Below are 14,926 nucleotides of genomic sequence, written 5' to 3' on the forward strand. Positions count from 1 at the left end.
AAGCAGAGGAGGAAAGGGTGAACGCGAGCCTAATTAATCTACATTTCTGTCTTCTTTTTCATTTTTTTGAGACAGAGTCTTGCTCTGTCTCCCAGGCTGGAGTGCAGTGGCGCGATCTTGGCTCACTGCAACCTCTGCCTTCCAAGTTCAAGTGATTCTCCTGCCTCAGTCTCCCCAGTAGCTGGGACTATGGGCATGCACCATCATGCCTGGCTAATTTTAATATTTTTAGTAGAGATGGTTTCACCATGTTGGCCAGGCTGGTCTCAAATTCCTGACCCCAGGTTATCTGCCCCCCTTGGCCTCCCAAAGTTCTGCTATTATAGGCATGAGACACTGCACCCGGCCCTTACATATCTGTCTTTCTTAATAAACAATTGAAATATGTTCGGCTCAAATAAATCAAAACAAATACCATCCTCTTTAAGAGACTATAATTTTACTTAAGGTAAAATTATTTTAAAGTAAACTGATACTAAGCCTTTGAATAAGGAACACAATCTGGAAAATACATAATTTCTTGAATAATCTAATTCACCAAAATCTAAACATATAACAAACAAAAATGTATTTTGATGTGTGTGGGGTAAGGAGAGTCAGTCTCCCCAGCTCTTAAAAAAAATCCTAAAACAATAGAACAAAACCAGAGTGCAAAAAACTTTAGAACAGCTTTTAAAGAATGATGAGCTACATTAAGTTGGTATGAGTCAATATACATAACAGAGATTCAGCCAGAAACATGAATGAGAATAGATGAAATTCTTAAATTGATGGTAAGCAATCATTCATTTATTATGAATGTAATTTAAGGCATTTAACTCTCTTTACAACACTGCTTGAAGAAATCAAACATACCTATTATAATAACAATATAAAGCAGCATATTGTGAAATCCCCAAAGCAGTGATATAAGAATTTTGAAAACTGAGATAACAGTATCACCTAAGAAAGCCTTACAAAAGAGAACAGATTTAAACTACACCTTCTAGAATGAGAAGTATTTGGATAAGCAAGTAGAAAGGAGAAGCATATTCCACTATAGAAGACCAGCACAAATAAAAGTACAGTCTCACTGGGAAACAGTGAAGAAAGCTATCTAGCTGGGTCCACGATGATGAGAAACACAAGATGAAACTGGAAGAGTACAGTAAAATCAGACATACTAAGAACCTTGACTACCAAAGATATGGAAGCCTAAATTTATGCTCTCAATTGCTGGTTTCCACTTGCTGGTCCAGAAGTTGCTACATCAGACACACTTGGAGAGCTTTATAAACACATTATGTTACTGAGCCTCACCCTTAGAGATTCTGAAAGAGTGGAGTGAAATCTATATCTAAGCAAAGCTTCCAGGTGACTCAGATATAGCCAGATGTAGGTGCTACTGCTCTAAGCAACAGTAAGCCACTGCCTTTTTGAGAATGAGAGGGACATAAATGTAGCCATCTCATTAGTTTTTTTATAGTTAAAAGCTTTAATAATAAAAAGTGGTACTTTCACTTAAAATTTTATATTTCTCTTTTATTCATATTATTTCCCTCAGAGATCTACTTCATAGGATCCATGTGTTCTCTGGTAATACACACCTATAAGAACCCTGAACCCATCATAATCTCACCAAAGTATGTAAAAAATAATTTTCTGTTTGGTTGTTTTGTTAAGAAAGATGAACTGGTATGTTGGAGGGCAAGGTTCTAATAGCAGTTAGGAGGCTGTGGTACTACTCAGTAATGCAGGCATAAAATGATAGAGATCTAACCAAGATGGTAAAAGTAAGAATAAAAATCAAGAGATAAATCAGAGCCTTGACACTTTATAACTTCTAAAAGAAAACACAGAAAGTATCCTTTGCAACTTTAGAGTAGGCAAAACTTTCTTTAATAGGAAAAAAGTTTGAATCATAGGAAAAACTGATAAATTGGGCATCAATGAAATTAAAAACATCTGCTCTTAGAAAGAAAGCATTAAGAAAATAAGAAAGCATGCCAAGACTGGAAGAAAGTACTCTCAATACACATGGCTATCAAAATGATATTAAAATGTATTAAAGAACCTTTAAAACATAATAATACAAACAAGACAATTTTCAAATGGGCAAACATATGAAATGATACTTTGCAAAAAGAAGATGTAAAAGATGGCCAATGAGCATATGAGATGCTCAAACATCATCAGTAATGAGGGAAATGTAAACTGAAACCACAATATACCACTAAACACCTACTGGAATGACTAAAATAAAAAAGATCAAGGATGTAGAGCCACTGGACAGCTCACACACTGCCTAAGAGGAATGTAAGAACGGTCCAACTACTTTGGAAAATGGCTTGGCCATTTCTTATAAAGTGAAACAAACACTCACCACATGATTCAGCAATTGCACTCCTAGGTACTACCCCCCAAAAAATATATCTCCAAAGCATTGTATACATAATGGAATTCTATCAAAATACTCGACTCAAAGTTTGAAAAATTTGAACCTCCAAAAATATGACAAAATTGACTGGAACTTAAAAAGTCTGAGTTTAAGTTCAAATTTTAGCTCTACTACATACTATGTAGACTTGTAAACCTTACCAACTGCTCAGTTTCCTCATTTGTAAAATGGGGGGAATAATGATTTATATACCATAAAGTCCTCGTAAGAATTCCATGAGCTAAGGCATATAAAAGCCCTCAGAGACATGAGGACCTTTAAATGTTATGCACTATATTATCAATAAGCTTTTGGAACTCTAATTCTTTCCATTCAGAAGCTAAAATGCTGATCATGAGTACTTGAGATAAGGCAGATACATCAGAGGTTTTCTGGACATTGGTTTATCTCCTCCAGCAGTTAATCTTCACCATGACCAAAAGCTAACAGATAATCTTATTTCAAACAAACCTCCTACACATGAAAACTGTGATATGGAATTTCAGTGGATAAACCAGAGGAAGGTATTTTGCTTTACAAAAAGCCAATGACTTTTAAAGAAGTACATCTACTATGTAATTTACTCTAAAAATATTAATTTATTCATAAACTTACCTAGGAACATTTAAGTGCAAATAAAGATATGACTAACACCGTGGCTGCTTTAAATTAGAGGGTTATATATGGGCCATCCATACTAAAAGAAGTTCTAAATGAGCCTCTAAAAGATACTGAAGTATAGCAAAGCCTAAAATGTCAGCCTTCAACCCAAATGGAATCATTTTTTATTTAAAATACTGATGACAGTAATGATAATAATATTATTATATCAGCGATCATGTGTGGTTATCATCTACCAGGTGCTAGGCTTTATATACATATTAATTCATTTTAAACCTTAATAAAATCCTATGTGCTAAATACTATTATCTTCACTTTACCAATGACTGAAACACAATGAATATATTAAAATCCATGAGTTCCTCATGATATTAAAAAAACTTAAAAGGCAAAAAGAATTTGTCACCACTGGAAGTAGACTTCACATTACGCCTTCAATCAAAAAATTAATACTTTGCAGTAAACAAATACCCACACAGCCTACCTTTTCTGTAGGAACTAACTATATTTCACATTTACCAAGTAACCCTAAGTGATGATCTTGTCTTTAAAGATTTCATTAACACATATAACAAGAATGACAGAATTATAAAATCACTATTTTTCAACTCCTAATATTGTAACTGATTCAGTTAATGATCATCAAAGGATTCAAACATCTTTCAGTAAAAAGTTGATGGGGGACACGATTTTTGCAAGGTGCCAAATATATCATCTTTATCTTCACTTTCAAGTCATAAAGAATGAAAAGACGCAACTTTCAATGAAGAGAATCAGGCTATCCTCACCTAAATCTACCAATCTTGTATCACTAGCAGCAGGACAATCAGATATTAAGTGAATTCTTATGTGATGCAGCATGAAGTACTACACACTCCCTACAAAGTATTCTTGCCAAAAATGCTCTAGCTAGATATAATCGAGCCTTTGCATTTAACTTCTAGTTTACAGAAAATATAGAAGATACAGAAACAAATTAAGTAATACCGCAAAGATGTAATCAAACAATCTAAAAAAGTCAAACACTCTACAGGACACTGGCCTAGATCCATTTTTTTTTTTCCTGAGATGGAGTTTCACTCTTATTGCCCAGGCTGGAGTGCAATGGCGCGATCTCGGCTCACTGCAACCTCTGCCTCCCAGGTTCAAGTGATTCCCCTGCCTCAGCCTCTCAAATAGCTAGGATTACAGGTGCCCGCCACCAAGCCTGGCTAATTTTTTTGTATTTTTAAGTAGAGATGGGGTTTCACCATGTTGGCCAGGCTGGTCTCGAACTCCTGACCTCAGGTAATCCACCCGCCTTGGCCTCCCAAAGTGCTGGGATTACAGGCATGAGCCACTGCACCCGGTCAGCCAAGTTTCTTAAAACCGTCAAAGACACAAAAGAAAACAAAAGTAAACAAGGAGACTCTTTAGGATTAAGGACGTAATGACATAACCAAATAAGATGTATGGACTTTATTTGGTTTCAGCAAGCCTACTGTAGAAAGATTTGGGGAAAACTAGGCAAAATTTAAATATAGACTAGGTGTTAGGTTATGTTAAGCAATTATCATCAGTTTTGTTAGATGTAATAAAGGTTTTATGGTTACATAAGAAAATGTGCTCATTTTTTAGAGACACATTAAGTATTTTGGGGTACGTCATGAAGTCTGTAATTTACTCTAAATATTCACGCTGTACCCTAAATAAATGAAACAAACAAAACAAAAGGTTAATAACTCCTTACATCTATACAATGGGTATATTAGTGTTCACTGTACTCTTTTTTTAACTTCCCTGTTTGCCTGAAAACATTCATAATAAATATAAACAAGTGTAGTTTTAATTATTAGTAACTAACCCTTTTGTTGGTTCATTAACTCCTAAGTTAAAGAATTCCTCTAAATATTCTAGTGCACAGATACATGCATCAGAGAAACCATATCTATTATAGCCAAAATTCTGATGCACAGTGCAAAAAAAAACCAGGTCAGTTGCATTGTTTCAGAATTTTATCTTAATGAAGCTTATTTATACCAGAGTGTGTATCATATATCGTTTTTCAGGTCTTCCAAAAAGCATTTTGGCAACAAAAATGCTAACTTTTCAAAAATACAATCGACAACTAAGCAATATATGTTATAGTAATTATTTTCATCTTGTTACATAAATTTTTATAGTTCCTACCATGCTATATGAAAGTGTTTCCATCTAATATATGACTAGATAAACATTTTCTATTGAAATAAAGTAGAGGATGGGTGCGGTGGCTCACGCCTGTAATCCCAGCACTTTGGGAGGCCAAGGTGGGCGGATCACAAGGTCAAGAGATCAAGACCATCCTGGCCAACACGGTGAAATCCCGTCTCTACTAAAAACACAAAAATTAGCTGGGCATGGTGGCATGCGCCTGTAATTCCAGCTACTCAGGAGGCTGAGGCAGGAGAATCGCTTGAACCCGGGAGATGGAGGTTGCAGTGAGCTGAGATCGCGCCACTGCACTCTAGCCTGGCGACAGAGCAAGACTCTGTCTCAAAAAATAAAGAAAGAAAGTAGAAAATGATCATGTAACTTACTATTTACAAGGTAGTACTCATTTGAAAAGTTACTAAAGCCAAATTTCAAAAGATAATTCATAAAGTTACAACATCAAAACTGACTAATTACAAAGTATGACAGAACTCTAAATTTAATTTTTAAAAATACTCAATAACCTAAGTATACATTAACTTTCAAAACACCAAATTTCATTTCTCAGTTTTAAAAGCAGAAGTCCTTCCACCACAGCTATGAGTAGTACCACAGGAGATTTCCGTACATTTGATTAAATAAACTTCAGCTGAGGAGCAGAATCCATTATACAAAACTTATCAATTATGAATTAGAAACTGTGATCCCTGAACTTCTGGGAGTACCCAAAGACCCTTCTAGAGGATCTGCAAGGTGAAAACTAGTTTCATAATACTTTTTCATTATGTTGCCATTTTCATTGATGGCACAAAAGCAATCTTGGGTAAAACTGCTGGCAACTTAGCATAAATCAAGGCAGAGGCACCAAACTGGAGTAGTAGGCACTGAATTCTTCAGTCATGCACTCACAGAAGAATGACAGTTTCACTTACAGATGTCCTTGATGAAGAAGTAAAAATTATTGCTCTTGAACCTTTAGTACGTAAGATTTTAATATTCTGTGCAACAGAATGAGAAGCATACATAAAGCCCTTCTCTGTACTATATTTTTTAATGTGTCAACACTTGGAAGATCTGCATAATTCAGTGAGCAAATATTTTCCAAATGACTAATGCATGATGTTACAAAATCATGCATGAGTAAAGAGCCATTCAAAATTCAAGAGTGAATTTTAACAGAGTATGAAAAGTGTACTGACAGCGTTTCAGATTCCAGATTGCAATTAACATAAAGAAAATTACTACTAGTCAAGTTTTGGCATATTATCAAAGAATATCTATAATTATGTATAAACCCCCCCCATATATATATATGCATGAGACCAGATTTTATTCATATACTTCAATCGGATCATCACATCACAACAGACTGCAGAAGCAGATACAAAAATGCAGGTGTCTTTTAAGCTAGACATTAAAGTGATTTGCAAAAACCGCCAAAAAGCAGTTCTTAATCATGGATGGTTTTGTCCCTCAAGGGATACTTGGCAACATCTGGAAACATTTCTGGTTGTCACAACTGGGGTAACTGCTATTGACATTTTCTGGGTAGAGGCCAGGGATACTGCTAAACATCATATAATGCATAGGACAGCCCTCCACAACAAAGAACTTTCCAGGCCAAAACAGTGCCAAGGTTGAGAAGTCCTGAAAATAGTTCGAAGGTTGAGAAGTCCTGGGATAAACCATTACCAACCTTCTCAATCAACTTTTTGGGGAGTAGAGGGAAAGAAAACACTGTAGTTCTTAATAAAAATGTTACTTACATTAACATGTAATGGGTTTATTACTTTAAATGAATTAAATTTTTAAATTTCTAGTTTTAATTTATAATATAATAAAATAGATATAACTCACATAAACAAAAGCACTTCACAGTCTTCAATAATTTTTAAGACTACAAAGGAACCATGAGACCACAAAGTGTGAGAATCGCCAAATTAGATGAATGATATAACTAACGAAGTATGTTGGAGAATATTAAAAAAAATTAAAAGTCTAAAGGAAAGTGTACTCATTTCAAGAGTATTATAGATGACCTAAACAAAACAAACAAAACCCCTTACAAAACCAAATAGTTAAAAAGAAAAAAAATATGATAGTCCCCAAATGTCATTCTCCCCTTCTCCCCTCCAAAAACAAAAACAAAAACAAGACAAAACATGAAAACCACAACTTCCTACCCTGGCTATGAGGACTTGCTGGACTAAGAGATGGCTGATGCAAATCTTTGGTTGGCGTTGGATAAGCTTCTTTTCCTTGGCGCTGACTCATCTTTCCTGGTGTCAGAAGCTGAGATTCGTCACTGTTTGCTACAACAGCTCAAGGAAAGAAGGGAAAAATAATTAGTACTGAAGTCACAGATTTACATAATAGTATAGTTAATAACATGGAATAAGATCAAAACTGAAATGGCCTTGGTGGTTATATTCATTTTACCAACTCAATACTTTAATAAATTCTCACAGTCATCTTGTTTTCATGTTGGTTTGTTACTGATCCAAGAAGAACTGACAGGTATGTTTGAGTCAAATATACAAATTATAGACATTATAATAATGAAAATACATATCCAACTGATAATGAAAGGCCTAAGGTTTACTGTGTGCCTTTCATTGTGCTATTTATTCTTTATATTTACCAACAAAATAAGCCAAAGCCAGTCATTTCCCAAAAAAAAAAATACAAATCGTCGATAAACATATAAAGATACTCAGCCTCATTAGTAATCAGAAAAACTACAAATTACTAGCAGTATAAAATAATATTTGACATTCGCTAGAATTTCTACTCTAATTTCTAATTTTCACGAAAAGTCGGTATGATAACTGTTTTAGAGAGGAGGAAACTTGAGGGTCAGAGATTGCCTTGCCTGAGGCTAAACAGTAATAGAGGCAAGATTCTAACTCAGAACCATTTGGTTCCAAAGTCTGTCTCTTAAAGCTTGCTGCCCCAATAAACAATTTAAGTAGTGCTTTGTAGTTGCTTCTCACCCATTTGGCCATCCTACTATCTATCGCTCAGTAATAGCGAGCCATGCCCAGTTTCAGAGAGCAGAAACAAAGTGAAAACACTCAATGAAGAAACAGGGCAAACTGCCAAGTCCAAAGTACCTGAGGATCTCCACATTCTTTCATTTTATATTCCTGTGCTTTCAGCCTATAAAAACTCGAGTTTCATCTTAAGAAAGGACGATTTACTAGCACTTTGGGAAGTCGAGGTAGGTGGATCACCTGAGGCCAGGAGTTCGAGACCATCCTGGCCAACGTGGCGAAACCCCGTCTCTACTAAAAATACAAAAATTAGGCAGACGTGTTGGCGCGCCTGTAATCCCAACTACTAGGGAGGCTGAGGCAGGAGAATCGCTTGAACCTGGGGGGCAGAGGTTGCAGTGAGCAGAGATCATGCCATTGCACTCCAGCCTGGGCAACAAGAGCGAAACTCCACCTCAAAAAAAAAAGACGGTTTAGTCTCCACCATAGGTTTTATTTTTCAATACAGACATTCAGAATTTCACATTCACCTTTTTATCATCATGTCCTTTAAATCTAATTGGTTTAAAATGTTTTCTGTTGCGATAGTTTTCAAAATTTTATTTCAGCTCCTTAGATTCCAAAGTAAAAATACAAAAACACTTGCACTTTTCATCCAAAATATAAAAAATTATTTTTCCAAGTCAATTAAAAAAATGTATAGACTGATGACTCCCAACTTCCTATCTCCCCCTAAACTCAAACTTACATACCCAACTGCCTGCCTTATAATCACCTCTTAATTATTTACAGGCATCTCAAATTTATCTAGAATGTAATTTTTGATTCTGCTCATCCTTCAAACCTGCCTCTCCCCAAACTCAGTTCATGCCATCACTACTCCCCTCCCACTACTTTCTCAGGCCAAAACCTTAGATGTGTTTTTATTTTTCTCTTTCTCTTACTGAGCAATCTTTTAAAATCATAAATTAGATTTCCAGTATGCAGAAATATCCTCACTGGCTTCCCATTACATTTACAATATAATCCATAACCTGGAAATTCAACACAGTCTGGCCTGCTACTTGTTCCAACCTCATTCTCTACTACTCTCCTGTCACTCACTTGGCTCCTGCCGTAATAGTCTTCTTGGTATTTCCTCAAGAAAGGCCATCTTTTGCCCAGTCACAGGGCTTTTATCTCTTGCTCTTTCTACCTGGAATATTCCTACCCCAGATCATCACATTATTAGCTCCTCTCCTTTGTTGTCTGGGCTCAAAGGTCATCTCTTCAGAAAAGCCCTTTGGTTTCTTCATGGTACTTTTGATACGTTCTTAATTTCAACATGGCACAATTTGGCATTTTTTTTTTTTTAGGGTTAGTACCCACCACTTCACAGTTATACTATTATCACTTTACCTTACATGATTTTCATTGTAGCTCCTATCATTATCTGAAAAATATAGTTTATTGCTTTTCTTCCTCCATTAGACATTAAATTCCATGAGAGAAGGAAGTTTTGTCTGCCTTATTTTCCCATAAATTCTCAGGTCCTGGTAAACTTCCTGCCCTATTGAAGGTGTCGCATCCTACCATACTAAAGATGTTCAATAAATTTATGTTGAATGAGTCAATAAACCAACTTTATATTTTTATAAAACATCATAAAGTATATGGTGTCTCTTTCAGTTACTAAATCCAAGATTCATTTGATTCCTAAAAATAATTTTAAATGTATGGTACTGATGCAGAGAGATAAATTGACCTAAAGAACATAGCAGATAGCTTTCAGAAACAGACACATACATACATGGAGCTCAGATATACAACAGAAATAGGGAGAATAAATTACTCAGTTAACAATATGAGGTTATCAACTGGTCATCAATATTGGAAAAGTAGAGAGAACTCTACTTCTTACCACACACAAAGAATAGTTCTATGAAGACTACAGACATAATGTAAAAAAGCAAAACTGGAAAATCTTTAGAATAAGAGAATATCTTCATAAACTTGGGACAGAGATTCCTTTAAAAAGACACAAAAAAGCACTAACCCAAAAATTAAAAAATCAGTAAGTTCAATATTAAAAGTATAAATTTATTTAAAGGTATCATAAACTGAAAAGGCACAAAATAAGATATTTGCAACACCCATAATTAACAAAAGGTTGGTACCTAGAATGTTCTTAAAAAAAAACTTCAATAAATCATTAGAAAAAGAACATCATAATAGCAAAATAGGGCAAAGACTTGAACAGTGATTCACAAAAGAAAAATGCAAATGGGCAATAAATGTATGAAAAGATGTTCATCCTTTTTTAGTAATGAGGCAAATACAAATCAAAATAATAAATATTTTATACTCAGTAAAATTAACAAAAATTAATGTCTGATAATACCAAATACTGATGAGGATGGGATCATCGAGATGTCTTAAGCACTGTTAATGGAGTATAAGTTGATACAAGCACTTTGGAAAACAATGTGAGCTTCTTATATAAAACTGAATACCCTGTGGGTCCAACAATTCCACTCTTGGATCTAGAAAAACTTTTACAGGTATATACCAAGAGACAAGAATAAGAATGTTCATAGCAACACTGTTCATAATAGCAAAAACCAAACAACATATTCATCAATTGAAAAATGAATTTTAATAAATTCTGGCATATCCATATAATGAAATAGTATATAGCACTAAAAAGGAATGATCTAGTTCTATAACAAACGACATGATTGAATATTAAAAGTAAAATGTTAATTACAGCCAGGCACAACGGCTTGCATCTATAATCCCAGCTACTCAGGAGGCTGAGGTGGGAGGATTGCTTGAGGCCAGGAGTTCAAGACCAGCCTAGACAACATAGCAAGACCTATCTCTAAAAGAAATAAAAATTAAAAAAAGTTAGCTGGGCGTGGTAGCTCACACTGTAATCCTAGCATAGCAGGCATCTGTAGTCCCAGCTACTAGGGAGGCTGAGGTGGGAGCATCACTTGAGCCCAGGTGTTCAAAGCTGCAGTAAGCTGTGATAACACCAATGCACCCTAGTGTGGGCAACAGAGCAAGACCCTGTCTCTTTAAAAAATTAAAAAAAAAAAAAAAAGGTAACTACAAACAGCAAGTCCTAGAAAATTATATAAACCATGACACCATTCTTTTAAAATTGAAAACCAAGCAAAATCTAGTGATACATACATGAGTAAAAAACAATAAAAAAAAGACTTTTTAAAAAGCAAAGAATAATAAAAAGAAAAAAATACAACCTAGTCATGCCCTCTTGGGGCAGGCTCAGGGATAAAAAAGCAGCAGAGGCCGGGCGCGGTGGCTCAAGCCTGTAATCCCAGCACTCTGGGAGGCCGAGGCTGGTGGATCACGAGGTCAGGAGATTGAGACCATCCTGGCTAACACGGTGAAACCTCGTCTCCACTAAAAAATACAAAAAAAAAAAAAATTAGCTGGGCGTGTTGGTGGGCACCTGTAGTCCCAGCTACTTCGGAGGCTGAGGCAAGAGAATGGCGTGAACCCGGGAGGCGGAGCTTGCAGTGAGCCGAGATTGCACCACTGCACTCCAGTCTGGGCGACAGAGCGAGACTCTATCTAAAAAAAAAAAAAGCAGCAGAAAGACCTAAGGTACATGGAAGATTCTAGTTCTTAAGCTGAGTGATAGCTCAATAAGGGCTCATTGTATAATTATGCTCTCATTTACATATGACACATATTCTTTTGTATGTATCAGACAGAACATTTAATGCTAATTTAAAATACTTTATAAGAACCACTAGCAGAATTAATGTAGGTTTTAGCATTCTGTCAGTAAAACATAGGTGTCCATGTCTTGAATAACTTTAAAACAGCCTGAACTGTAAAGTTAGCTCTATTCACCCTTTCTAATCCATTTTCGATGGAAGTATTACTACATGATTTTGATAGCCGTGAAGTAACAAGAATATGCAGAAACAGCAGTATACAGAGTGCACCTCTTTACCAAAAAAACCAGAAAGCCCATGTTTCTATTTATTTTCCCTCACCCCATTCACAAGCATTAACAACTATACAGACAAAAGAGGCTAGGGAATATAAAAATCATTATGATTTCCTACATCAGTTACATAATAGTAGACTATTCAAACATAAGTTTAAGAGGGACAGTGACTTTTTTTCTGTATCCCTTGGCATATAACTGATACTCACTAAATACTCTCTAAATGACTGAATAGATATTTGGCAAATGAATCACTGTGTGACTCCAGTGCAGTTTCACCGTCTCACCTACCAAAGATAACATTACAGTGCCCTCTGCTGTTTCTACTTCAAGTGGAAGTAAAGCAACCTGCTTTGCTACTCACATTACTCATCTTTAGTAGAAATCACACTGAAATAGTTAATATAATTAACATATCTGCTGCATCTAAGGAGAACATGAATCAAAAACATTTTTACCTTCTGAATTCAACTCATCAATATAAAATTTGAAGAATTTTACAAGTTTCAAAGTTTGCCTTTAATCTAAGTGGAAGCTAAAATAAGATGAAGTAATTTTTTAAAGTCATAAATAATAATCTGTATGTAAATCCTATATCTCCTTTTCTTCTAAGGTATACATTTCTTAAATACTCCAATAATTTAAATGTCAGTATAGATCACGTACTTTTTTCATTCTATAGTACATGATACTAATCAAGTACCAAGAAATTACAGCTGACGTTTAAGCAGTCAAAAATGTGTATTTAGGGACTGGGAGTGGTAGCTCACACCTGTAATCCCAGCACTTTGGGAGGCAGGCAGATTATTTGAGGTCAGGAGTTTGAGACTAGCCTGGCCAACACGGTGAAACCCCATCTCTACTAAAAATACAAAATTGGCTGGGCATGGTGGTGCACGCCTGTAATCCCAGCTACTCAGGAGGCTGAGGCAGCCCAGGTTGTGTCCTTGCACTAGGTGACAGAGCAAGACTCCGTGTCAAAAAAAAAAAGTGCATTTAACTTTTGACCCTCCAAAAACTTAAGTACTAATAGCCTACTGTTTGCTGTTGACTGGAAGCCTTATACATAATACGAAGAGTCAACACATATTGTATATGTTGTATGTATTACATATTGTATTATGTAATACAATATATACATAAGCTAAAGAAAATGTTATTAAGAAAATCATAAGAGAAAATACAATTACAGTACTATACCATATTTATTGATACCATAAGTTTATGCCATCTGTTTACAAGATGAATCATCAGTTTGAAATAGCAGCAACCACAGCTGCAGACCTCAATCTAGAGCTAAATATTAAGCAATTAAACTTTTTCTTGTAATGTCATGGCCTTTGTCTGCTTCTTGGGAGCAACCGAAGCATCAACAGTGGTACTTCACATGGGTCCCATAGCGTTATTCAAGGTTTACAATATTGCACGAAACATGATGAAAATAGGCAAGAATGATGAGAAATGACTTTTTAAAGCAATATGCAATTTACTGGAGCAAATAACTTCATACAGAGATGATTAGCATCACACAGCATTTTAAGCAGATATTCGCAACACCTGAGCTCATAGTAATAACAGGAAGTGGTTAGAAAATTATTACAGTAGTACGGTATGTACTAGTTAATGTTATGTAGTTACGATTTAATATTGTATCTTTATGTTTGTTTACATTTTTCTCAACTGGGAATGGCAACGTGTACGGTGTGTGTGAAAAGTTTTGATAAATTTTTACTTATGTAATAGATTTGTGTATATTTTAAAGTAGTAAGAAAATAAACTAGTACCTACATATATTTTATGCATTCATGATATACCTAACCTTTCCTTTATTTTTTCTATGTTTCTAAGGTACAGTTCATCTGTGAGTTTTAAATTGTCACAAACCTCAGAAAAATTTTCCAATATATTTATTTTTAAAAATACACATAGAAGTGGACTCGTGTAGTTAAAAGTTGTCTTGTTCAAGGGTCAACTGTACTTCACTTTAAAAGATATATGGTCTCTAACAAATGATTATACAGACCCAGCCTTTTAATACTTGGCAGAGTACATGATAAAGTCATCTCTAATATTATGTTGTATATTTTTATTTATATATATGCTTGAAATATATAACCTTAAGTAAATTTCTTCTATTCGAAGTAAAAAAGATCTCCATTTGTAAAAACCCAGTTCCTAAGATAAAATATTTCAGTTAATATTTAAAATGCTATTCTATTTATAAAGCTCAGCAGTGCCATTCAGTTCACCTGAGTCCATGTCTAAATATATGAGGTAATTAAAGAAACTGAAGAATCCATTGAAATTAAATGCCAAGTAAGTATCACAAGGCTGAACAACAAAACATAAAAATATTTTGAAGCTTGGTGCAGTGGCTCACACCTGCAATGTCAGCATTTTGGGAAGCCAAGGCAGGAGGATCGGATCGCTTGAGTCCAGGAGTTTAAGACCAGCCTCGGCAATGTAGGAAAACCCTGTGTCTACAAAAAATAAAAATAAAAAAAATTTAGCTGGGCACACGCTTGTAGTCCCAGCTACTCAGGAGGCTGAGGTGGGAAGATCGCTTGAGTCTAGGAGAAGTTGTGGCTGCAGTAAGCTGTGATTGTGCCACTGCACTCCAGCCTGGGTGTCAGAGTAAAACCCTGTCTCAAGAAAATCAAAAACAACATTTTGAGATTTGTGTTCTTTTTTCTATTTTTAAGATTTCTACCTCCTAATGATGATTGTATAATAAATAATATTTATAAAATATTTTGAGTT

At 35.2% G+C, this 14,926-nt stretch overlaps 1 protein-coding gene across 19 annotated transcripts in view; it reads right to left on the minus strand.

Moving 5' to 3' along the window:
• Positions 1-14,926, minus strand: part of OSBPL8 (oxysterol binding protein like 8) — a 207,975-nt gene that overhangs the window by 91,662 nt on the left and 101,387 nt on the right. For 13 of the 19 annotated variants that reach the window (NM_020841.5, XM_011537856.4, XM_047428251.1 and 10 more), the window contains one exon: positions 7,393-7,530. In NM_020841.5, the coding sequence (NP_065892.1) occupies positions 7,393-7,530 (138 nt within the window). The remainder of the gene's footprint in view (positions 1-7,392; positions 7,531-14,926) is intronic. The other 6 variants (NM_001003712.2, NM_001319653.2, XM_017018769.3 and 3 more) reach the window with 1 other exon arrangement.

Source organism: Homo sapiens, chromosome 12, assembly GCF_000001405.40.
Source record: "Homo sapiens chromosome 12, GRCh38.p14 Primary Assembly".
In the NCBI taxonomy this organism is placed as follows: domain Eukaryota; kingdom Metazoa; phylum Chordata; class Mammalia; order Primates; family Hominidae; genus Homo; species Homo sapiens.